The following is a 26,347-nucleotide window of genomic DNA, read 5'->3' as shown; positions in this document are numbered from 1 at the left end:
AGCTGGGATTACAGGCCTGAGACACCATGTCCAGCAAAAATATTTTTAATATTGATACTTTTTTTCATTTTTAATGAATGCTGAGAAAATTCCTGAAAGTTTAACAATTAGCCCTTGGGAGCTGGTAGGAACTGGTTCCAGCTGGTATGAGACCAAGCAGGCTGCCCTGATTCTGGCAAGTGTGCCACCTCAGTACCCCTCACATGGGCACTCCTCCATTCCTTCTGCTACCTCTGCCGTGGGCTACTTTCTGTGCTCCTAGCCTAGTCCCTCTTCTGCAGGCTGCTGCCCACTCCCTAGAGCTCAGCTTGACGTGTGTCACGTTCTCTTCAAAACCTCTTGTTCAAAATCACTGCCTGTAGAATCAAGTTCAAATTCTTTGGGCTGTCCTTGCAAGGCCTCCCTAGTGTGGTGCTCAGCTATTTTTTCAATAGAAAGACAACAGTAGCTTGCAATCCCAAGTCTCTGTTTACCACCACGACTTCTTTCTTGGACATCAGGCCCACAAAGCCACCTGCTCCCTGGGCGTCTCCTGTTGAATGGTCTCCTGTTTTTCTTGTAGGGCCTCAAATTCACCCTGTTCCCTTTTCTCTTCAGACTCTTTGGACAGTTTCTTCTCACAGGAACATTTTTCTTCCACTCTGCAACCCTGCTTGTCCCCGCTCCACTAACTTTTTTCTGGTGGACTGTCATCCATCCTTCAGGTCTCAGCTGAAACGTTGCTTCCCCTGGGAAACCTCTGGGAAGGTGAGGGACTCACACACACCATTTCTCTCTTCTTCCCATCATAGAATTTGCCACATTGTATTAAAATTGTCTATTTGGCTGTCTCCCCCAGGAGACTGTGAGGTGCATAAGGCTCATCTTGTTCACCACTCTATCCCCAGCACCTAGCCCGTTCACTGGCACCCTGTGGGTGCTGAACAAATGAACAAATTAATGAGGTACATCCAGCAGTTCCCCTACAAACCCGCCCCCACATCTGTCTGGTTTCCTTGCTGTTCCCCAAGCACACCTTGTACTTTCTCTTTTCTGAAAACAAAAACAAAAATCCATAGTTTTTGTTTGTGCTTAAGGGGACAAAGTCAGAAAATGTCACCTTCTGAAATTGGAACTAATAGAATCAACATTGAATAGATGAGATCAGCCATCTGCAAAATAATCCACTTTAAGGGGTGGTTTGTAAATATGATACCAATGAGATGAGGGTGCTTCTCAGGTCTCTATGGTGACCAGCATGTTGCTGCAGGCTGGGAATCTGCCAAACATAAAGAAAGTGATAATGTCAATCAATTGTAACCTGATTGCTAGAGATAATGCTGTATAAACAGGAGGGCCCTTGTCTGCATGGGGTCTTGACAAGAGTTGAGCCAAAGAGCAACACATTTATTGTGTCTGATCATCATTAAGTGCTACATGCAGCCCTTTGCAGTTTACAGAGCTCCTCCTTGCAGTGAATTTCCACGACCCTGAAAAATTGGGCTTATTTGCCATTTTACTGGTGAAGAAAAATGCCCACACCTTCACTAAGCCCACAGGAAGTGAGAAGGTTATGAACTGAAGGACAGAAATACTTCTAGGGCAGACACAGCAGCTTTTGGCTTTGAAGAGGTTTGGCTCGGGGCCTCAGACCCCCTTGAAGGGGGCAGATTGTCATGGGGTGGGGCGCTGAATGCTGCCAGGTTGATCTCTTGTTCATTCAGCAAACATTTATCGAACCACAACCACGTGCTCAGCAGAGCGCTAAGAACTTGGAATACAGTGATAAGAGCTCTTTGTCAAACTGACGACCTAAGTCCAGGACTGTGACAAGTAAATAATCACAAATATGTTGTGATAGGTGGTCTGAGAAGGGAAGCACGAGGTGCTCTTGGAGGCCCATAGAAGAGACACCTATACAGGTCTTGGGGGGAGGGTCTGGGAAGGCTTCACAGAGGAATTGGTGCCTTGAGCTGACTTAAGCATCTGAAGGGACTTAGAGAGATAAAAGGGGGCTGGAGGACTCAGAGGATGGGGAGAGAAGGACTTTCCAGGGAGAGATGGCAGAAAACAAGAACACCTGGGAATGAGGGTGTATGACAAGTAAAGGCAAGGGAAGAGGGGTGGGAGGAAGTTGTGAGAGGCGAGGCTGGAGAGATCATCACAGAATCCAAATTAATATCATCATAACCTCACAATAATAACTTATAATACAATATAACAAATCCATCATATCACAATTAGTAATCGTTAGTTGATTAAATCAATAAATCATATTACTGGTACTGACAACTTTATAATAACCAGGTCTAATTGGCAGCAAGTGATTAAAGTGCTTAGGTGCAGGGCACCAAGTTGAGCAGGTTACATGCCCTCTCTCCTCTCTCACCCTCACAACAACGCTACCAGGGAGGTACTGTTCTCCCACTTTGCAAATGAGAAAGTTGAAGATTCAAGATGTTAAAAAGCATACCGAAAGTCGCATTCGCTATGAAATGGCTGGCCTTACATTAGAATCGAGGCTTATAGGGACTCCAGAACCCATCCTGTAAAATGATTTGCCTAATAGCACTAGGTCTCATTACACATGTACAAAAATTTGGACTTAATCCAAACAGAAATAAAGTCATCCATGAGTTCTGGACAGGGGGGTCGACACCCAGATTTTGGTTTTTTTTTTTTTTTTTTTCTGAGACGGAGTCTCCCTCTGTCACCCAAGCTGGAGTGCAATGGCACGTCTCGGCTCACTGCAACCTCCGCCTCCCGGATTCAAGAAATTCTCCCTGCCTCAGCCTCCCGAGTAGCTGGGATTGCAGGTGCCTGCCACCATGCCCGGCTAATTTTTTTATTTTTAGTAGAGACAGGGTTTCACCATGTCCAGGCTAGTCTCGAACTCCTGACCTCAGGTGATCCACCCACCTCGGCCTCCCAAAGTGTTGGGATTACAGGCATGAGCCACCGCGCCCGGCTAAATTTTGCTTAATTTAAAAAGCTCTCTCTGGCTGCACGGTGAAAGCAGCTCATGGAAGCAGAGAATAGAGGCAGAGAGGGCCGCGGAAGGCTTTTGCCTTTTACTTCAGCTCTCAGGTAGTGTGGCTTGGCCTAGAGAGACAGCCATGGGGACGGAAAGAAGGGATTGGTTTCATGCAATTTGTAGGGGGTAAAATTGACAGGCCTTGGTGACTGATGGGATGTGGAGAGTGAGAGCAAGGAAAACTTGAGAATGACTGCCTGAATTCTGGCTTAAGCAAATGGATGAGTAGGTGGCAGAGCCAGTTGTAGAAAAGAACATGAAAAAAGGAAGAGGTCCGGGGAGAGACACCCACTGAGTTCACACTGCAGGTAGAGGGCGAGGTACATACGTGGGAGACACTAAGGAGGAGGGCCTTGGGAGGCAGTTGGAGAGATGGTTCTCAACCTCAGAGGAGAGGTCTGGACTAGGCATCAGGATAAAGAAGGTAACTGGAGCCCTGGAGGGATGAGGTCTCTCAGGCGTGCCATGCCTCCAAGTAAGATAGGCAAGGGCCAAGGATACCCTGATGCACACCACTATTTGAGGGAGGACAGAGTGAAAGGGTCTGCAAAGGGCCTGCTTGCTCCCATAGGAGAAGATAGCTGGCAGGCCCAAGGGAAAGTTGGGCCTTCAGCTCCTTGAACTGAAAGGACCTTTGGAAAACATTTGATTCAAACGTCTCATTTATAGATGCCTCCCCTCGGAAGGACACCGGGCGGCACCACTGCCAATTTGAGCACTCTCGTATCTTTGCAGCTAGGATGAAGACTTGGGGCTGGGTCTCCAGCTGTGGGGAGAGCTACCCAAACAACCAATCCCACTCTCTTAACCCAGCCCAGCCCCTTTGGAATACAAGGCTCTTATATGTGTGGCAGTAGTTTGATCCAACTGTTGAAGAGACACTACAGCATAGCGGTTAAGGATATGGCCTCTGGGCCAGGCGCGGTGGCTTCTGCCTGTAATCCCAGCACTTTGGGAGGCTGAGGCAAGCAGATCACTTCAGGTCAGGAGTTCAAGACCAGCCTGGCCAATATGGTGAAACCCCGTCTATACTAAAAAAAAAAAAGAAAAAAAATTAGCCAGGTATGGTGGCAAGCACCTGTAATCCCAGCTACTCAGGAGGCTGAGGCAGGAGAATGGCTTGAACCCAGGAAGCGGAGGTTGCGGTGAGCCAAGATTGTACCACTGCACTCCAGCCTGGGCAATAGAGCGAGACTCTGTCTCAAAAAAAAAAAAAAAAAAAAAAAAGGATATGGCCTCTGTGCCAGAGTACCAGTGTTCAAAACCCCCACCAACATTCACTAGCTGTGATAGTGGGCAAGTCAATTCACACCCCTGATTCTCAGCTTTCCCATCTGTAAAAGGGGATAATAATTGTACCAACTTCATAGGTTTTGTTGTGAGGATAAACTGTATTAGAACACTCCCTGGCGACTATTAATAGTAAACTCTGGGCCAGGCATGGTGGCTCATGCCTGAAATCCCAGCACTTTGGGAGGCCGAGGCTGGTGGATCACCTGAGATGAGGAGTTCGAGACCAGTCTGACCAACATGGTGAAACCCCTCCTCTACTAAAAATATAAAAAATTAGCCGGGCATGGTGGTGGGCGCCTGTAATCCCAGCTACTTGGGAGGCTGAGGCAGGAGAATCACTTGAACCTGGGAGGCAGAGGTTGCAGTGAGCAAAGATCATGCCATTGCACTCTAGCCTGGGCAACAAGAGCGAAACTCCGTCTCAAAAAAAAAAAAAAAAAAAAGTAGTAAACTCTATTGAGTGTTAGCTGATCCTGGCCAACAAGAATGTGTTGTTTCCAGTTACAGTTTCCAAGTCCATATTCTCTGGGGCCTAACTGCTCACTAAAAATGCTTAGGGCATTCATAAAGCAGGGATGACAACAAAAGTGTTTTGGAAAATAATATGATAATTGAGATTTCAAATAACTCCATCAAAGTAGTCATCACAGGAAAAAGCAGACCTTGGTTAGACTTTCTTACCCTTTTGTAAAAAAATTTTTTTTATTTTCTGGCGGGAACTTATAGAGCATTTCTTACCCTCTTTACAGTTTGGTATAATTTTTATTTTGAATCACGTAATGGTAGTGGGAGTATTGAGTAGGGGGTGCAGGGGACAAGGTAAAACCCAAATTTTTTAGAGCCCCTGAGTCTTACTCTCAGATAATCCCATTTGAGCCTTGCATCAAGCCTGTGATGGAGGTATCATTTACATCCTTCTTCGCAGAGGTGGAAAATGAGGCTCAGAGAGGTCAAGAACCTGGTCCAAGTTCACACAATTAATAGGGATGGGCTGGATGGGAACCCAGGCATTCTGATGTCAGAGCCCCTCATGAGGTGAGGAGTTAGTGTTTGTGGTTCTGGAGGTGGGGGTAGGGTTTCCTCAGTGTGGGTCTAACAGTCCCATATAAAGGGGATTCATGCTTTTGTACAAGGAGTAAGGGAGTAAGGGCTGGGGCGATTCAGGCCAGAATGCAAAGATGGTTCACGAGGCCTTTTGGAGAGTCTCTTCCTTGGGGGCCATATGTTTGCAATCAGTGTGCGTGTGGCTGTGGGGGGAGCCCTGTTCTGGCCAGTGGCCAAGACAGATGTTTGCTGTGTGATTCACACAAACACAAACCTCAGTAACTCCTCGGCATGCTGGGAATTTTGTGTGCCATAGTTATGACCTGCTTCATCCGGTAACTCAGAAGGTTTCAAAGGTCCTCTGGGCCAGGGCCGATCCAAGGCAGAGCTGGGGAGGCAGGAGGTGGACCTCTCATCTCCTCACGCCTCTCTGTTGGGGTTCCTTTCCTTGCACAGGACTTCCTTTCCATCACACAGTCCACAGTCTCCACACCCTGTCCTCCTGCAGCTTTCCCCAACCCGAGACTTCCACGAAGGCCTGCCTGGCCATTGGCTTCATTTCCTCCTGCCTGTTGTGAAGGATGAGCCCCATGCACCTCTTTTCTGCCTAACAGAGCCCCACTCATCCTTCCCAGCTGCCTCCAACCTCAGCTCTGCTACGAGGCTTTTCCAGCTTCCTCAGAAAAGGAAGGTCAAGGGAGCAGCAAGTGCTCAGGAAGCACCTAGTCTGTGCCAGCCGTGGAACTGGGGTTTTACATAATCACCTCATTAAATCTTCACAACAGCCCTGTGTACTCCTACAGAAGAGGAATCTCAGGTTCAGAAATGGAAAGCAACTTGCCCAAGGTCATACAGCTAAGAAGGGCAGGGGTATAGCCCAACTTAACTCCCGAGTCCCTATGAACTTGAACTCTCTGTTTCACACCACACTGCCTGCCCCAAGACACCTTCCTCCTTGATCATCTTCAACTCCTTTTGTTTTTCTTCCCACCCCATGTCCAATCCATCAGCAAATACTCTTGGCTCCACCTTCAAAATATATCCAGAATCCACCACTTATCATCATCTCCCTAGCTGCCACCCTGGTCTAAGTTCCAATCAGCTTTCATCTGGGTTACAGCAATGGTACTCTACTGCTCCTTTGCTCCTAGCAGTGCTCCTAATGACTTTGCCCCTGCCCATCACGCCCTCCCCCCGGCCCCACACAGTCTATTCACCACACAGAAGCCAGAGGGATTCTGTTACAACACAAGTCAAATCACGTCACTTTTCTTTTCTTTTCTTTTCTTTTTTCGAGACAGAATCTCGCTCTGTCACTCAGGCTGGAGTACAGTGGCACGATCTCGGCTCACTGCAACCTCCGCTTCCTGGATTCAAACCATTCTCCTGCCTCAGCCTCCAGAGTAGCTGGGATTACAGGCACATGCCACCACGCCCGGCTAATTTTTTTGTATTTTTAGTAGAGACGGGGTTTCACCGTGTTAGCCAGGATGGTCTCGATCTCCTGACCTCGTGATCCACCCACCTCGGCCTCCCAAAGTGCTGGGATTACAGGCGTGAGCCACAACACCCAGCTATCATGTCACTTTTCTACCTCAAAGTCCTTCAGTGACTCTTGTTTCATTTGTAGTCTAAGTCCTTAATGTCAGCCTATATAGCCTAGATGATCTGTTCCCAGCTCTTTCCTATTCTCTCCCTTGCTCTGTTCCAGCTACCCTGGACTAGTTGCTATTCCTCCAACATGCCAGAGCCTGAGGGCCTTTGTACCTACTGTTTCTTTTGCCTGGAACATTCTTGGAAGTCTGCATGGCTTGCTGCCCGACTTGTTTCAGGTCTTCATTCAAAACATACGTTCTCAGTGAAACTCTCCCCATCATCCTGTTTCAATCTGCAACACCTACTCCACCAACACTTGCTATTCCTGCTCTCCTGTTTTGTTTTTTTTCTCCCTTTTGACTGTGATGGTTAATTTTATGTGTCAACTTGACTAGACTGTGGGGTATTCAGATATTTGATTCAACATGATTTCTGGGTGGGTCGTGAGAGTGTTTCTGGTTGAGATTCACATTTGAATTGGTAAACTGAGTAAAGCAGGGTGCCCTCAGGCTTCATCCAATTCATTGAAGGCCTGAATACAATAAAAGGCTGAGTAAGGAAGAATTCTTTTTCTCTGCCGACTTTGAGCTGGGACATCCATCTTCAAATTGGAGCTATACCTTGGCTCTCCTGGGTCTCCAGCTTGCCAACTGCAGAACTTGTTCTCAGCCTGCATAATCATGTGAGCCAATTCCTTATAGTAAATATATACATGTATGTCACATATGTGTATAAATCTAGAGATCCTGTTGGTTTGATTTCTCTGGAACACACCAACTAACAGTACTTTGGCTATTTTTTAAAAATGTGTTGTCTGCCCCTACTCTAAGTTAAACTTCATGAGGGCAAGGATTTTTGTGTGTTTTGCTCTCCGGTTTTTCCTCAACACAATACCTGACATATAGTAGGTGCTTAGTAAGTATTGCTTGAATGAATCATGGCCCTTTATGTTTGACTCTCCCAGGAGTCTGTGAGCCACTTCACTACAAGAACTTGGAGTCTTCGCCTTTGCATTCCCGGTGCCCGGCAAAGTGCCCACCTCCAAAGGTGCCCAGTAAATATCGAATGAAATGCCTTCATATGATCCGTCCAGAAGAACGTTGGAGTTTCCAGAACCAAATTAGGAGGACTGAGCCTTCTTCAGTCCCTAATTCAGGAGCACCACCTCTCTGCTTTCCCCCACCTCTCCCTGAAACCCCAGCCTTGCCGTGGCTGTTTGTCTGTTGTGCCCGGCCTCCTTCCCTGCCTCTCAGAGTCCTCTCTCCCTTCCCCCATCCGCCCCCTGCTCGCCCGCCTGAGTACAGGCTATTATCTGGGGGTGGTAATTATTGCGAGTAAATTGGAAGTTGTTTTGCACAGAGCTGTCTCACGCAGGTCGATTTGTATGCTTCCTGGGCACTTCTGACACTCCAGAAATGCCATAGCAACGGCCGGGCGCCGCCGGGCTCACTGATGGCAGGAGATCAGGTGGGGGAGCGGTGCGCCGTGGGCGGGAAGAGGGGCGGGAAGGCGGCAGGAAAGGCCGAGGGCACCACGCGGCAGGGAGGCCGCAGCCTTCTCAGCCGCCACCTGTCTGAGCCTTGATTTCCCTGTCGGTGACACGGGGATGAGAACCTGCAAGCAAGCTGTTGACAGGCATAAACGAGATAATGGCTTGAAGAGTTTGTAAACTAAAACGGCGGCCAGCTGGCATTACAATGATTATTATTATTACTATTATTATTATTATTATTATTATTATTATTTTTAGAGATGGGGTCTTGCTCTGTCGCCCAGGCTGGAGTTCAGTGGCGTGATCATGGCTCACTGCAGCCTCGACCTCCTGGGCTCAAGCGATCCGCCAATGGACTATTATTACCACGACTATTCTTTTTCCCGGTATTGTCTTCTTTTCCCCTTCTCCCTGCCTTTCTGCGGCTCTGCCCCCACCCGCCTCGCCGCCACCCCGACTCCTCCCACCTCCCCGGACCCCCGCCCTGAGCCGGTGCCTGCCTGAATCCCCCGCCAGAGCGGGGTTCCTGCTGGCCCTCCTTTATTCCGTGCAAAATCACAGCCCCTGGGACACCTTTTGGAGATGAGGCCCACAGAGACACCTCAAGCTCATCCTGCAGGGGCAGAGCCGCTGATTAAATTATATTCACTCTGCCTTTCAGTCATTCAGATTGGCTGGGATGAGGCCAGCTGGAATTAGTGAGAAATTTGAAGCAGAGAATATTGACAAAGAAAGGCTGTTTTATTGCCTGCAATGACACAGGATATTTCAAAGGCAGCTCAGCAGGTCAAGGAGAGCTTAGTTCACGAATAGATCAGACTTTTTGCTAATTATTTGGATAGACACAGATCTCAAGTTTTTAAAATCAGCTTTGTTTCCTTCAGGGACTTGAAAAACAACCCTTCCTCTCCCCAAATCTGAGATCCTTACCAGGTGAAGGCTTTGAAAACAAGAAAGTACTGTTAAACTATTCATTAATTCCAAATATTTTTTCAGCACCTACTATGTGCTAGGACGATTGCGGCTTTTGAAAATACAGACATGGAGCTGATATCTACAGGAGAAACAAACAACATGGAAGTAAACAGGGAAACAGATACTTTTAAATCGTGGTATGGGCTCTGAAATATATAAATAGGATTAGAGTGGTGGGGGTAGCTACTTTAAAGAAGGTGGGTCAGGGAAGGTCTCAGGAGAGATGGCTGATTTCTGAATGATAAGAAGGAGCCAGCCATGCTCAGATTTTAGGGGAAAGTGTTACTGGCCAAGGGGACAGCAAAAGCAAAGACCTGGTGGTGGAAATGGGCATGGTTGTTCAAAGAACAGAAAGAAGGCCAATGTGCCTGAAGAAAAAGGGTGAGATTTGGAAATCACACAGGGACCTGTAGGCTTCAGTGAGGAGTTTCGATAGTATTTCCAGTGTGTTGTGAACTCAATGAAAGGTCTTAAGCAAAGGAGTGACCTGATCTGCTTTATGTGTTTCTTGAAAGGATTATTGGGTACTGTTTGAGGAATGGATTTTCTTTTCTTTTCTTTTCTTTTTCTTTTATTTTTTTTCTTTTTTTAAGACAGGGTTTCACTCTGTTGCTCAGGCTGGAGTGCAGTGGCATGATCATGACTCATTGAAGTCTCAACCTTCCAAGCTCAAGTGATCTTCCCACCTCAGCCTCCCATCTACCTAGGACTACAGGCATGCAGCACCATGCCAAGCTAGTTGTTTTTTGTTTTGTTTTGTTTTCTTTTGTTTTTTTTTTTGTAGAGATGGTGTCTCACTATGTCACCCAGGCTGGTCTTGAACTCCAGGGCTCAAGTGATCCTCCCACTTCAGCTTGCCAAAGTGCTGGGATTACAGTATGAGCCACCACGCCCCGCGTTGATTTTCTTTTTTCTTTTTCTTTTTTTGAGATGGAGTGTTGCTCTGTCGCCCAGGCTGGAGTGCAGTGGTGTGATCTCGGCTCACTGCAATCTCCGCCTCCCGGGTTCAAGCAGTTCTCCTGCCTCAGCCTCCCAGTAGCTGGGACTACAGGCGCACACCACCACGCCTGGCTAATTTTTGTATTTTTAGTAGAAATGGGGTTTCACCGTATTGGTCAGGCTGGTCTCGAACTCCTGACCTCAGGCAATCCAGCTGCCTCAGCCTCCCAAAGTGCTGGGATTACAGGCGTGAGCCACCGTGCCCGGCCTGATTTTCTAATAAGAAAGATTGACTGGGGAACAGGAATGGGAATAGGGAGACTAGTTAGGAAACCATTGGTAAATTCCAGGTGGCTTAGGCTTGGGTAGTTGCAGTGGAGTGGGGATAGGTGGAGAGATTCAGGATGTATTTTGGAGACAGCCAACAGGGCTTGGTGATGAACTGGATGAGGGAAAGAGATGATGTTTCTAATTTCAAGGTTTTTGGTTTGAGCAACTGAGTGGTGCCGTTTGTAGAGCTGGGGAAAACCAGGGCAGGTCAAGTTTGAGGGTGGGTTGGGAACCAATAATTCTCTTTTGGACGTTTTCAGAGTGAAATGTCAGATGTCGAGGGGGACTTGATATAGGAGTCTGGGACTCCAGTGAGAGGTTTGGACCTAAGAAAGACATTTGGGTGTCCTTAATATTCAGTTAAGAGCCCTTGGATTCTTGGTGACTTGCTCAAAGCTAACACAACTATAACAGAAACATGGTAAGATACCTGCTGTTATGAACCATGCGTTGTGTCCCTGCTAAAGGCGTATGTTGAAATTCTAACCCAAAACGGGATGGTATTAGGAGGTGGGGCCTTTGATAGGTGATTAGGTCATGAAGGTGAAGCCCTCATGAATAGGATTAATGTCTTATAAGAAAAGACCTGGAGGGACCGGGCGCGGTGGCTCACGCCTGTAATCCCAGCACTTTGGGAGGCCAAGGCGGGCAGATCACTTGAGGCCAGGAGTTCGAGACCAGCCTGGCCAACATGGTGAAACCCTGTCTCTACTAAAAATACAAAAATTAACTGAGTGTGGTGGCGCGTGCCTGTAATCCCAGTTACTTGGGAGGCTGAGGCTGAGGCAGGAGAATTGCTTCAACCCAGGAGGCAGGGGTTGCAGTGAGCTGAGATTGCACAACTGCACTTCAGCCTGGGTGACAGAGCGAGACTCTGTCTCAAAAAAAAAAGAAAAGAAAAGACCTGGAGGCCAGGCACTAAGTGGCTCATGCCTATGAGAGGATCATTTGAGGCCAGGAGTTCAAGACCAGCCTGAGCAAGATGGCAAGAACCCACCTCTACGAAAAAATAAAAAATAAAAATAGCTAGGCTTGGAGACCAGGAGGTTGAGGCTACAGTGAACCGTGATTGTGCCACTGTATTCCAGCCTGGGTGACAGAGCAAGACCCTGTCTCTCAAAAAAAAATTTTTTTTATTAAAAAGAAAAGACTCCAAGAGCTTGTTTCCTTTTTCTCTCTGTTCTCCCTCAAGTGAGAGTACAACAAGAAGGTGAATGTCTGCAAACCAGGAAGAGGGCCTCACCAGACACTGAATTTGCCTGCACCTTGATCCTGGATTTCCCAGCCTCCAGAACTGAGAAATAAATGTTCGTTTGTTTTTTTTATTTTATTTTTAATTTTTTGGTTTTTTTTAGAGACAGGGTCTCACACTGTCACCCAGGCTGGAGTACATTGGTGCAATCATAGCTCATTGCAGCCCCGAACTCCCGGACTCAAGTGAGTCCACTTCAGCCTCCCACTTCAGCCTCCCAAAGTGCTGAGATTACAGGCATGAGCTTCCTGCACCCAGCCATGTTTGTTGTTTAAACCACTCAGTCTATGGTATTCTGTTATAGCAGCCAGAACTAAAACAGCTGCCTTCTTCCCTACCTCGAAAAAAACACCCCTCTCCTCCACTTGAACGTCTTTATCTGAGTCAGTTAAGACTTACTCTCAGGGAAAATGCAAAATAAAACTACAAGGTACCACTTTTTAATAATCAGAGGGGTGAAGATCAAAAGGTTGGAAAACACTGTTAGCAAAGGTGGGGAAAACACACACTTTCATATATTGTTTATGGGAATGTAAATTCATTTATCCCTTATGTAGGGCAATTTGGCAGTTTCTAGCAAAATAAGAAAGACATATACACTTTGACCCAACAATTCCAATTTTAGGAAATTATTCTACAGATACACTCACACATATTTTTTTTTTTTTGAGACAGAGTCTCGCTGTGTCGCCCAGGCTGGAGTGCAGTGGCACAATCTTGGCTCACTGCAAGCTCCACCTCCCGAGTTCAGGCCATTCTCCTGCCTCAGCCTCCCGAGTAGCTGGGACTACAGGCGCCCGCCACCACGCCCGGGTAATTTTTTTTTTTTGTATTTTTAGTAGAGACGGGGTTTCACTGTGTTAGCCAGGATGGTCTCGATCTCCTGACCTTGTGATCCGCCCGCCTCTGCCTCCCAAAGTGCTGGGATTACAGGCGTGAGCCACCGCACCCGGCCCACTCACACATATTTTTTAAAAAAATGCATGTACCAGGCCGGGCGTGGTGGCTCATGCCTGTAATCCCAGCACTTTGGGAGATGGAGGTGGGAGGATCACCTGTGGTCAGGAGTTCAAGACCAGCCTGGCAACATGACAAAACCCCCATATCTACTAAAAATACAAAAATTAGCCAGGCGTGGTGGTGGGCACCTGTAATTCCAGCTACTTGGGAGGCTGAGGCAGGAGAATTGCTTGAACCCTGGAGGTGGAGGTTGCAGTGAGCCGAGATTGCGGCACTGCACTCCAGCCTGGGTGACAGAGTGAGACTCCCTCTCAAAAAAAAAAAAAAAAAAAAACCATATACCAGAATATTTATTGTCACTATGTTTTTATTTATTTTTATTTTTCGTAGAGACGGGTCTCATTATGTTGCCCAGTGTGGTCTCAAACTCTAGAGCTCAAGCAATCCTCCCACCTCTGCCTCCCAAAGTGCTAGGATTACAGGTGTGAGCTACCATGCCTAGCTCTCACTATGTTTTTAACAGCAAAAGATTGGGAAAAATATCCTTCAATAGAGGACTGATTAAATAAAGTACACCTTTACAATGGAATATGTGCAGCCATCAAATCTAAGGAAGTTCTTGGTCATTTTTTTGTTTTTTGAGATAGGGTCTCACTGTGTTGCCCAGGCTGGTCTTGAACTCCTGGGATCAAGTGATTCTCTCACCTTAGCCACCTGAGTAGCTGGGACTATAGGCACGTACCACCATGCCCGGCTGATTTTTTTTTTAACTTGAAAAATTGAGATGAAATTTACATAACATAAAATTGACCATTTTAACTATTTTAAAGTGTAAAATTCAGTGCCTTTATGTTTTGATATGAAACAACCTTTGAGATATATTGGTATGCACTTACCCTCACTCGCCTTCTATCCCCACTTGCCTACCTCTGCTTGTGATAGTGGGAGAGACTTTTTCTGATGGGCATCTCTGAAAAGTCTCCAGAACACAGGAGGCTGAGAGGGACTGTTGCCAGGGAAAGGTGGTGGTAATGTTATCAGCGGTTCTCACCCCCGGCTGCACATTAGCATCACCTGAGGAGATTTTGAAAATGCCCTTGCCCAGGCCCCACCTTTAGATACTTTGATTTAATTAGGGGTGAGGCCTGGGCATGAGTCTTAAAATTTAGGCATAATTTACCCACAGTAAAATGCATAGGCCTTAAATGTATAGTTCAGTGAATTGTGATATTGTGGGTGCTTGTGTAACCACTGCCCCATTAAAACATAGAACATTTCCATTTCTCCAGTCACTGCCCTTCACCCCTGCCAGAGGCAGACACTGTTCTGATTTCTATCATAGATTCATTTTGATTGTTCTTGAACTTCATAGAAATGGAATCAAGCAGTATGTAACATTCTGAGATTGCCTTATTTCTCTTAGTATAATGCCCTTGAGGTTCATCCTACTGCCCTGAGGATCAGTAGTTCATTTCTTTTTGTGGCTGAGTGGTATTCCCTTGTATGGATACACCAAAGTTTATCCATTCAGGCATCCAGGGACATTTGCATTGGTCCCAGTTTTTGGCTATTAGAAACAAAGCTGCTATCAACATTCTTGTACAAGTCTCTCTGTGAGCACATATACTCATTTCTCTTGGAGTGGAATTCCTGGGTTTAACTTTATTTGAAACTGCTGGTTTCCAAAGTGGTTGTACCAATTTACACCCCCACCAGCAAAAGATGAGACTTACAGTTGTTCCATATCTTTGCTAACACTTGGTATTGTCTGTCTTTTAAATTATAGCCATTCTCATGGGTATGTAGAGGCATGTCCTTTTAGTTTTAAATTGCATTTCCCTAATGGAAAATTATGTTGATCATCTTTTCATGTGCTTACTGACCATTCATATATCCTGTCTCATGAGGTGTCTGTTCCACTCTTTTGCTCATATTTTTGGGTGGTCATTTTATTATTGATTTGTAGGAGCTCTTTATATATTCTGGGTATCAGTCTTTTGTCAGATAAATATATCGCAAACATAATTATTATTTAAGATATCCCCAGTGAGTCTCACATGAATGCAGACTTGAGAACCCCTGGTGAACTAAAGATTGGCCCCAAAGGCCCCCTACTTTTGCAAGTCCTCAAACTTACCCCCTAGCAATTTTGCCTGAGGATTGGTTTTTTTTTTTCTTTTTCTTTTCTTTTTTTGAGATGGAGTCTTGCTCTGTCACCCAGGCTGGAGTGCAGTGGCGCAATCTCAGTTCACTGCAACCTCTGCCTCCTGGGTTCAAGAGATTCTCCTGACTCAGCCTCTGGAGTAGCTGGAATCACAGGTGTGCACCACCACGCCTGGCTAATTTTTGTATTTTTAGTAGAGACAGGGTTTCACTATGTTGGCCTGGCTGGTCTTGAACTCCTGACCTCAGGTGATCCACCGCCTTGGCCTCCCAAAGTGATGGGATTACAGGCATGAGCCACTGCACCTGGCTGAGGATTGGTTTTTCAATTCATGTGAATGTTCATGGCTGTGGGGGATTTTAGGAGAGAGGGTTTCCTTGTCAGTCTTTCTCCTGCATATCTGCCTGGCTTCTTGGACAGCTCCATTCATCTGAACTGTTCTCTTACACTCTGACTGTGAGAAAGTCTTTTCCTGTCTTCACCCTAAGATTTTCCACATGTAAAACCTGACCTTAGTGCCTGACCCATTTCTACAACCCAGAGACAGTGTGTGTCAAAGGAATAAGGACATTTTTTTTTTTTTTTTTTTTTTTTTTTTTTTTTTTTTTTTTTTTTCTGGATGGAGCAAGCTATGTCCTAGGCGCAAAAGGAGTGTGACTTTCTGTATCCCCTCCTGGCTATTATCCTCAGGCTGCCTATCTGCTCACTGAAGGGAAGAATCATTTTCTAGCAGCCTTGGCAACCAATCACCAGAGGACACTCATTGAACCTGCTGTGTACTTGCTGCATGACCTCGTGCAAGGCAATTAACCTCTCTAATCCTTGGTTCCTTCAACTGGTACAAGAGAACATCTTGTTTGTTGTGGGGAAAGTTCCTGGCATAAATTAGCTGCTCACAAAGGATGGAAGACATGGTTCTAAGATCAGTGGAACTGGGCTGTGAGAAGAGCTCTCTGTTCTGGGACTTGCCATACCCTCAATGTGCCCTAGTGCCATATACCTGCCCCTTCCTTCCACACCTTCAGAGGCCCAGACTGGTCAAGGCCCCTCCTGCTGTGTTGTCTTCACCCTGCCTTTTTTGGCTAATTTGAACAGAACATCCCATGAGGGCCCCTAGGCTCTTTAAGCTCTGAGCAGATGGCTGGGAAGCCAGTTCTCTGAAACAAACAGTTCTTGACTTGGATCTGGGCAAGGGGCCAAGACCTTTGAAGGGCTGTAGAAAAACTTCACCTTTGCCCCCACTTCCCTCCTGTTGCCCTCAAGAGCTTGTAGTTTTTACTACCTGTCTCTTTTAGTGCCAAAGAGGAAGGGAAAAAGGCCACGCCTATTTGGATTAGATGCCCACTTGGAGTCCCTTCTTGGGCTGGCACCAGGGAGAAGCCTTGACCCCAGGTTTTGTGAGAGGCACCCATGCTATGTAGGGAGGGTTTCTCTGCTGCTGCAGAAGGAGGATAAGGAAGCTACAGGAGAGCTCATGGGGAGCTCCCAGAAATGTCCTTGACTTGGGGAACAAGTGGGTACAGGGCATCTGGAGAGTCCAGCGACACTGGGCTCTGGCTGGAGCCTGTTCATCTCACAGCCAAGCATGGGTGGCTTTGTCCTAGCACAAGATCTGGGAAGGGACTAGAAGAGGGCTGTCTAGTTCCTGGGTGTAACTCAGAATCCTCTGTGTTACTTCCAGGTCCATCTGGAGGCAGGTATAAAAGGGAGACAGGGGTAGTATTGGCAAGAGAAGTGGCTGGGATGGGTATGCTTGGCCCTCCCCACTTCCCTGATTTCTGGTCCTCATTATGTCTTTGGATATATCATTCCCACCCAAGGCCTCATTCTAGTTCTCTAACAGAGCACACAGTGCTCTCCTTTAGGATTACTAATTGACAGATCATCCATCCATCCATCCATCCATCCAACAACTATTTACTGGTCAGCCATTATGTGTAGGGACCATTCTGAGCTCTGCGAGGGTATAACTGTGAAAAAGACAGAAATGTTCTTCACAGAGCTCACATGATCACGGGGGAGCCAGACAGGTAACCAGGCAGCTACATTCCATGGAATAAACCCAATGATAAAGGCAGGATGTGGGATCACAGAGGATGACTTGTTGAGAAGGATCAGGGAAGGTTCCTGGAAGCAGGGAGACCTGCACTGAGACAAGAGGAGTGAATAGACAATAGTGAGGTGAAAAGGGTGAGTCCAGGCAGAGGAAACTGCATGTGGGGAGGCCTGGAGGCAAGATCTGAATAGCTGGAAGTTGTTCAGTTTGAGAAGAGATCGTGTGCATGTATGTGTAGGGGTTGTGAAGAAGTAAGACGTGGCCAGAGAGGTAGTCAGAGGCCAGATCAGGAAGGCCTTGTAAGCCATGGTAAGGAGGCAGGACTTGATCTTGAGGGAAACGAGGGGGCTTTGAAGGATTTAGACAGGGCCATGGCATGATCAGTTTGGTATTTTTGAAAGATGATTCTGGTTTTTGGGTAGAGATCAGATAGTGGGGGAAAGGCACAAATAGAAGCAGGAAGACAAGCCAGGAGGCTAGTGCAGTCGTCCAAGTGAGACAGAATGGTGGCATAGACTACCGTGGTGGCAGTGGAGATGGAGAGAAGTGATTGGATTTGGGATGTATTTTAGAGGTAGAGCCAACACGACTCACTGATGAATTGAACTTGAGGGGCAAATATGAGGCAGGCCTCAAAGACACTTCCCGGTTTCTGACTTGGACCACTTTGGGGGTTGGTAGTGCCATTCATGGAGATGGGAAATATTGAGAGAGCAGGTCTAGGGGAGAGAGGGTGAGTTCGGTGCCATGTTGAGTTTGAGCTTCCGGGGTGACATGTCCTATAGCCATTTTGCCATCTAGGTCCAAATCTCAGGAGAGACGATGAGGCTAGAGACAGAATTGTGAGGCCTTGAGAGCCACTGAGGTAACCCAAAGGGAGTGGAGGATGCCATGTTTTGTGCAGTGGGACTGCCTTGTCAAAGGTTTCTCTATCCTTTGGTGCCCACTTCACCCAAACCCCGAAAGGCAGGTTTAGAAGGCTTTCATCAAAGACTGTGAAACTTAGGGCAAAGACCCTGCAGGTAATCCTAACTCTTGGCTCCCTCCCTTCCTCCCAGTCCCTGTCATTTCCACAGCATCCTGGGCTGACTTGATTAGTTTCCAAGAAGGGTTTATCCATCCCAGGGGCCAGGCCAGCTGCCATTCTTAGGAAATTCAGTTTCTGGCTCCCTCTGCTGGCAGAGCTGGAGATGACTGTTGGCTGGGGCAGCCTCCATCCCATGGCTTTCCTCCTCCTTCCTGCTTCCCCTGGGAGATTAAACCCTCAGTCTCAATCTTCTATCCCCTACCCCCAAATCCCACCTACTTTATAAGAACCCTAGCTAGAAATGGGGTGGGAGAAGCCTAATTAGGTATCTGGGAAACACAAATTCTTACTGTTGGCAGAGCTTGGTGGCTCACACCTGTAATCCTAGCACTTTGAGAGGCTGAGGCGGGAGGATCGCTTGAGCCCAGGAGCTGGAGAACAGCCTGGGCAACATAGCAAGACTCTGTCTCTACAAAGTATTAAAAAAATTAGGTGGATGTGGTGGCACATGTCTGTAGTCCTAGCTGCTAAAGAGGCTGAGGTTGGAGAATCGCTGGAGCCTGGAGGATCACTTGAGCTCAGGAGTCTGAGGTTACAGTGAGCCGAGATCACACCACTGCACTCCAGCCTGGGCAACAGAGTGAGACCCTGTCTCATAAATACATTATTACTGTTTCTAATCAATTTCATCTTTTTTCCTGCCCCAAACCCACTCTCGGCTCCTTTTTTTTTTTTTTTTTTTTTTTTTTTTTTTGACAGGATCTCACTCTGTCACTCGGGCTGGAGTACAGTGGTGTGACTCTGCTTACTGCAGCCTCGAACTCCTGGGCTCAAAAGATTCTCCCATCTCAGCCTCCCAAGTAGCTAGGACTACAGCACACACCACCACACACAGCTAATTTTTGTGTTTTTTGTCTGATGAATCATGTTGCCCAGGCTGGTCTCAAACTCCTGGGCTCAAGTGATCCTCCCACCTCGGCCTCCCAAAGTGCTGGCATTACAGGTGTGAGCCACCACACTTGGCCCCAAACCCACTTTTGATCTCCTTGTGCATGAATACTTCATTTGGTTATCAAAAACACTCTTCCATTCTCAGTCCCCAAGAGCAACATTTTGCTGGCACTCCCTCCTCATATGCAGGGAAGCCATGATGTGTGCTGGAAAAAACGCTGGGTTGGGATTGAAGGTACCTAGGTTTGAGTACTGTTTCTGTCACAGGTTCAGGGTCTGACCTTGGACTGGTCACTTCCTTCTTTCCCATTGGCAGTTCCCTTACCTGTGGCATTAGACTGGAGTCCAAAAAACCGTTTCAACTCAGCATTCTAGGCTTGCTCCAACCATCTTAGCCTGTTTAGTTTTCATACACATCAAGCCCTCTCCTGCCTCAGGGCCTTTGATCATGCTATTCCCTCTGCCTGAAATGCCCTTCCCTTCCCTTTTTGTTTGGTTAACTCCTCCCTACCCTTCAGCTCTTAGATCAAATGCTACTTCCTCAGAGAAACCTTTTCCAGCCCTCCAGATTGGGTCAGATACCTCATGGTATGCTGTCATAATTGCCTGTAGTTTTCCTTCTGAGACCTCTTCATGTCTGTAATTTTCCAAGTGTTTGTGTGATTATTGTTTCAAGTCCATCTTCACCATGGAACTTTAAGCTCTTTGATAGCAAGGACTTGTCTGTTTTTCTCACCACTCTACCCCCAGCACCTGGATCCTTACGTGACCATCTTGTAAAGGCTCAACACATATTTACTAAATAAATGAATAAGTAAATGGATGAATTAATCCTTTTCTTCACCTGTCAGCTGCTTTCTATATCTAACTAGCATCATGTTAAAGAGCAAAAAGTCGAAAGCCAGACTGCCTGGGTTTGGAATTCTGCTTCACCATTCACAAGCTGTGTAAACTTGTGTAAGTTATTCAATCTTTCTGTGCCTCAGTTTCCTCATCTGTAAAAGGAGGATGATAATAGTATACACCATCTAACAAGGTTGTTGTTAAGGATTAAAAGACAGTGCATGTAAAGTCCTTAGAACAAGGCCTGGCACTTCAGTGCTATCTAAGTAATAGCTATTGTTCTTATTCGGCCTCATCCATCTCTCCATTTATGCATTCTGAACCCTCCCACAAAGCCTCATTATCATATTTCCGGCCTGTGAGTGCGGATGACTCAGTGTAATTTGAAGATTAGGTTGAAAAGTTTTGTTTTTTAAAATTCTTATTATGGAAATGTTCAATCATACACAGAAGCAGAGAAGAGGATAATGAACCTCTGTAACAAGCTTCAACAATTATCAACATTTTGCCAATCTTTGTTCATCTGTACTCTCCTTTTTTTTCCCTCTGTACTGGAGTATTTTAATGTAAGTCCCAGATGTCATATCATTTTGTCTGAAAATACTCCAACTTGTATTTCTAACAGATGAGGACCTTAAAAAAAAAAACAGCAATACCATTATCACCCTTTTAAAATTAACAATAATTAGGGAGAGCTTTTTTTGTTTATTTTTTTCTGAGACAGAATTTTGCTCTTGTAGAGGCTGGAGTGCAATGGCATGATCTTGGCTCACTGCAACCTCCGCCTCCTGGCTTCAAGCCATTCTCCTGCCTCAGCCTCTCGAGTAGCTGAGATTACAGGCACCTACCATCATGGCCGGCTAATTTTTGTATTTTAGTAGAGATGGGGTTTCACCATGTTGGCCAGGCTGGTCTTGAACTCCACCCACCTCGACCTCCCAAAGTGCTGGCATTACAGATGTAAGCCACCGCACCCAGCCTAGGAAGAGCTTTTTCCTTTTCTTTTCTTTTCTTTTTGAGATGGAGTCACCCTCTGTCGCCCAGACTGGAGTGCAGTAGTGAGATCTTGGCTCACTGCAACCTCCGCCTCCTGGGTTCAAGCAATTCTCCTGCCTCAGCCTCCCAAGTAGCTGGGATTACAGGTACGTGCCATCACACCCGCTAATTTTTGTATTTTTAGTAGAAACGGGGTTTCACCATGTTGGTCAGGCTGGTCTCGAACTCCTGACCTTGTGATCCGCCCGCCTCGGCCTCCCCAAGTGCTGGGATTACAGGCGTGAGCCACTGAGCCCAGCTGGGAGAGCTTTATAAACCCCATTCCCTTGAGAGACGCTGGGGGAATGGGAGCCCTTGATTGGGGTAGATGCATAATGAGGAACAGCAGATAATTAATCGATGTAAAGTGTTTTGAATGGGGCCTGTCACATAAGAGGGATATAGTAGTAACTATTATTTTGACTCTCTTTGATTCTCTCCATTTACCCACTCAAAATCCTCCCAATCTCTCTCTTATTTTCAGGCTGTGAGCCTGGGTGACCATTTATAAAGGAGGACTAGGAGCCTGGGCTGGGGAGTTTCCTGGGTCATCAGAGCCCTGGGTTGAGACCTGGGACTCCAGAAGGCACCAAGAAGGGCCCAAGGGAAGCAGACTACAGGACCGAAGGGGAGGGGAGGAGCAGCCAGAGCTGGGGAGTTTAAAGGAGGAGCCCTACAGCTGTGTGAAAATGGGGCTTAGAAAATCCAATAGCCAAAGGGCAGGCAAGCCGAGTGTTGGTCCTTCCTTCCCGGTGATCAGGGCCTTTAGGCATCACTGCCAGCTGGGAAGCAGAGAGGAGGTAGCCGGGGTTCCTGAGGGAGTTCTCTTTAGCTTTTCTTCACAGCCCACAATGGGGCATGCCTACAACAACCACCAGGGGCCTGCTTTGCTTCATCTTCAGTTCTCAACAATTCCCCGGATATGAGCGATGATGGTGGACCCTGAGCCAAAGCACAACCAGACATGGCCTTCCCCAGACTCAAGATGAAGATTTTTGTGCTCTCATCTCTCTTTTCCTTTCTGCAGAATTCTCTCCTACATCTTCTCCCCTATTCTGCTCTTCTCATCCTACTCATCCTTTGGGTATCCAGGGCGCCTGGACTCTCAACTCATCCTTAGCTCCTTTGTGCTGCTATAATAAAATGCCATAGACTCAAACTCATATTTTTTTTTTTTGAGACGGAGTTTCGCTCTTGTTGCCCAGGCTGGAGTGCCAATGGCGTGATCTTGGCTCACCACAACCTCCGCCTCCCAGGTTCAAGTGATTCTCCTGCCTCAGCCTCCCAAGTAGCTGGGATTACAGGCATGTGCCACCATGCCCGGCTAATTTTGCATTTTTAGTAGAGACAGGGTTTCTCCGTCAGGCTGGTCTCGAACTCCCGACCTCAGATGATCTGCCCGCCTCAGCCTCCCAAAGGGCGGGATTACAGGCGTGAGCCTCCTCACCTGGCCATCAAACTCATAATTTATAAACAATAGAAATGTATTTATTATGGTTCTGGAGGCTGAAGAGTCCAAGATGAAGGTGCCAGCAGGATTGGTATCTGGTGAGGGCTGCTCTCTGCTTCCAAGATGGTGCCTTGTTGCTGCATCCTCTGGAGGGGAAGGAATAGTGTGTCCTTACATGGTAGGAAAGCAGAAGAGCAAAAAGGGCCTAAACTAGCTCCCTCCAGCCCTTTCATAAGGCACTAATTTATTCATGAAGTAGGATCCCTCATGACATTACTTGCTAAAAGGCCCCGCCTCTCAATGCCACCATGGTGGGGATTAAGTTTCAACACAAGAATTTTGAAGGACATTCAGACCATAGCACAGCCCAATCCAAGCTTGCCTCCAGGAAAAGATGTGATTCAAACACTTTAGCAGAGTAAACAAGTTCCTTCATAACCTGGCCTTCAACTGCCTCATCAACCTCATTTCCCGCCACTGCCCTCTTCTTTCCAGTGTGACACAGCGAAACGGCACAGATTTGTGTCCATATGGACCTAGTATTGAATTCTGGCTCTGCTGCTTCCTAGCTCAGGAAGCTTAGATGAAGTCAATTTATCTCTCTGAGCCTGTTTCCACATCTGAAAAATGTGGATAATAGTATACTAAAAGGCCTCTTAATAAAGGCCTTAAAGTCATACAAACCAGGAAAATAGCCCATGTTCTCCAAGATCCCCCACCTCCCCCCAACCCTTTTCTTTTTTTTGAGATGGAGTCTTGCTCTGTCGCCCAGGCTGGAGTGCAATGGCACGATCTCAGCTCACTGCAACGTCTGCCTCCTGGGTTCAAGCGATTCTTCCACCCCAGCCTCCCGAGAAGCTGGGATTACAGGCACCCGCCACCATGCCCAGCTAATTTTTGTAGAGACGGGGGTTTCACCATTTGGCCAGGCTGGTCTTGAACTCCTGACCTCAGGTGATCCGCCCGCCTCGGCCTCCCAAAGTGCTGGGATTACAGGTTCAGTGAGCCACTGAACCCGGCCTCCAACATTCCTTTTAACTCATAACGGTCTATAAATTTTATGAAAAGCTTAAAATTCTCTGGACATATGATGTATGACTGGGCCAATAGGTGAGTTTTCCAATACTGAATGCTAAATTAGTGTCTTGAGGAGTCATGTCTGTGTTCTTAACAGTATATGAACAAGGACAATTTTTGTTGGCCCACAACCTCCTATTTAGTGTCACCCAAGCAAGCCACTTAAACTCAATCACATTTCCTTAAGCTCTAGGCTCTGCCTTCTTTTTAGGCTCTGCATTTGAAAATGACTGTATCTTAGTTGGTGCTTCTGAAGAAATGATGACCACAGCACTACTTCTTTTTTTTTAAATTATTTTTGTCTTCCTTTTATTATACCAAGTATGTGAACCTAGTTACTTATTTCTTAAATAAGAACTTTAATTTTTTTTTTTTTTTTGAGATGGAGTCTTTCTCTGTCACCCAGGCTGGAGTGCAGTGGCATGATCTTGGCTCACTGCAGCCTCCACCTCCAGGGTTTGAGATTCTTGAAGACCCTTCTCTCTTTCTCTCTCTCTTTTTAAGAAAATAAATACAGCATAACGCCCTGTGGAGAAGAAAAAAATTTTTTTTAAAGAGACGGGAGTCTCACCATGTTGCCCAGGCTGGTCTCGAACTCCTAAGTGCAAGTGATCCTCCCACCTTAGCCTCCCAAAAGGCTAGGATAACAGGCGTGAGGCACTGCACCCAGCCTTTTTTTTTTTTTTTTTTTTTTTTGAGATGGAGTCTCGCTTTGCCACCCAGGCTGGAGTGCAGTGGTGCAATCCCGGCTCACTGCAACCTCCACCTCCTGGGTCCAAGCGATTCTCGTGCCTCAGCCACCCGAGTAGCTGGGACTGCGGGCGCCCGCCACCACGCCCGGCTAATTTTTTGTATTTTTAGTAGAGACGGGGTGTCACCATTTTAGCCAGGTTGGTCTCGAACTCCTGACCTCACGTGATCCGCCCGCCCCGGTCTCCCAAAGTGCTGGGATTACAGGCGTGAACCACCGCGTCTGGTCGCTTCTTCAATGTTAGTTTAAATCACAGGGACTATGCCTCCCAGGGTGTTTGAATTCAAAGCACGGTCAGTGCCAGGTACTGGCGATCAAGGAAGGGAAGATATCTGTGGATGCGGGGCAGGGTATGGTTGGGGGACGCAGGCGTTGGAGATCTCCAGGGGTCGCCGCAATGACTGGGATCATATCGGGCAGTCTCCTCCACTCACAATGATGGCACACGCACGCGCGAACGAATTGGCTGCAGCATGGTTTGAATTGGATTGAAACGCGAGGGATCACAGACTGAGGCAGCACACTCCGTGTCTCGAAGGCAGAGATCACCTTCTGCTTCCCGGCGCGCGTAGGCGCAGGCGCCCACCGTCATGGGCGGGGCTCAGGCGGAGGCGTCGCAGCGCGTGGTCGCGGATTGGCCGGCCGCGAGGCCGTCGGTTGGCTGTGTCCCTCTCCACGGCGCACAGAGCATGCGCGGGGCGGGAGTGAGCGAAATTCAAGCTCCAAACTCTAAGCTCCAAGCTCCAAGCTCCAAGCTCCAAGCTCCAAACTCCCGCCGGGGTAACTGGAACCCAATCCGAGGGTCATGGAGGCATCCCGAAGGTTTCCGGAAGCCGAGGCCTTGAGCCCAGAGCAGGCTGCTCATTACCTAAGGTATGTCTGGACCGCTGGGCGGGTCTAGCTAACCGACCTGGCCCAGGGTGGAGGTGGGGTGGCCCCCGGATCCTCCTGGGGACCCGAACTGTTGAGGCGGAGCCTTTTGAGACGCGCGCTCGCGCTCTTCTCGCAGTAGGGTGTGGGAGTCAGCTCTGGATGTTTGACCAGATTTCTAAAACCTGAGGAGACCCCGATGCCTCTTCTTTTGGGCAAATGACCCTCCAGTATGGTCTCCTTAAAAGCCAGAGGAGCCTTAATTAATCAAGCCCTTCTTGATTCTTTTCAGCTTATCAAGCCCTAAGTCTAGGGGATACAGAGATGAGTAAAACAAGGTCCCCGCCCCCAAATTGTTTGTAATCTAGTAGTGGAAACGGATCTGTAAAGCAATAATTACTAGGTTTGATAAGTGCTGTAAGAGGTATAATGTACGTGCAGGGCACAGTGTTGGCATAAAAGAGGGAATGGCCAACTACAAGGGTGGTCAGCTAAGGGATGGCGTGGCAAGAGGAGACATTTGAGCTAGGCGTTGAAAAATGAGTAAACATTCACCAGTTGGCTAAGGGTGGGGGGCGTGGTAATGTTGGGATGAGAATTTAAATTTTTTCTTAAATTGTGGTAAAGTACACATAACATAAATTTTATCTTTTTGTGCAGAAACTGGGTTTTATGAAAAATAAAGTTTATCATCCTAACCATTTTTAAATGTACAGTTCAGTAGTGTTGACTACATTCATATTGTTGTGCAGCCGTCCGTCATCTCCAGAACTTTTCTCATGTGGCAAAACTGAAACTACTCCCATTAAACAAACTCCCCATTTCCCCCTCCCTTCAGCCCCTAGCAACCATTATTCTGTCTCTGTGAATTTTACTGCTTTAATTTTTTTTGAGACAGGGTCTTGCTGTGTCGCCCAGACTGGAATTCAGTGGCCTGATCATAGTTCACTGCAGCCTCGAACTCCTGGGCTCAAGCAGTCCTCCTGCCCCAGCCTCCCTAGTAGCTGGGACTTAAGGTGGGTGCCACCATGTCCAGCCAATTTATTATTTTACTATTGTTGTTTTATATATATTTTTAGAGACAGGGTCTGGCTCTGTCACCCAGGCTGGAGTGCAGTGGCGCGATCTCTAACTCAGCTCACTGCAACTTCCATCCCCCGGGGCTCATGCGATCCTCCCACCTGTTTCCGGAGTAGCTGGGACCACAGGCGCACACCACCACACCCAGC

At 47.2% G+C, this 26,347-nt stretch overlaps 2 protein-coding genes across 3 annotated transcripts in view, besides 1 other annotated feature; one reads left to right on the top strand and one right to left on the bottom strand.

Moving 5' to 3' along the window:
• Nucleotides 1–26,347, bottom strand: part of PIN4 (peptidylprolyl cis/trans isomerase, NIMA-interacting 4) — an 82,289-nt gene continuing 55,942 nt past the window's right edge. Inside the window, exon 4 of the mRNA NM_001170747.1 lies at nt 1–1,258. Within this exon, the coding sequence (NP_001164218.1) occupies nt 1,169–1,258 (90 nt within the window). The 3' untranslated portion in view covers nt 1–1,168. The remainder of the gene's footprint in view (nt 1,259–26,347) is intronic.
• Nucleotides 24,938–26,347, top strand: part of ERCC6L (ERCC excision repair 6 like, spindle assembly checkpoint helicase) — a 34,363-nt gene continuing 32,953 nt past the window's right edge. Inside the window, exons 1-2 of one of the 2 annotated variants that reach the window (NM_001009954.3) lie at nt 24,938–25,121; nt 26,017–26,134. Coding sequence is in view for 1 of the 2 variants with exons in the window: in NM_017669.4 (NP_060139.2) it covers nt 25,054–25,121 (68 nt within the window). In the remaining variant the exon portion in view is untranslated. The remainder of the gene's footprint in view (nt 25,122–26,016; nt 26,135–26,347) is intronic. The other variant, NM_017669.4, reaches the window with a different exon arrangement.
• Nucleotides 25,007–25,156: an enhancer, noted in NCBI's record as "active region_29756". NCBI's record gives its function as "activates an Ori minimal core promoter by ATAC-STARR-seq in GM12878 lymphoblastoid cells {active_cell/tissue: GM12878}" and the evidence as "EXISTENCE:reporter gene assay evidence [ECO:0000049][PMID:35858748]".

Source organism: Homo sapiens, chromosome X (assembly GCF_000001405.40).
Source record: "Homo sapiens chromosome X, GRCh38.p14 Primary Assembly".
NCBI classification, from domain to species: Eukaryota; Metazoa; Chordata; class Mammalia; order Primates; family Hominidae; genus Homo; species Homo sapiens.
Note: the sequence above shows the minus strand (reverse complement) of the source record. Positions and strands in the feature narration are given on the sequence as shown.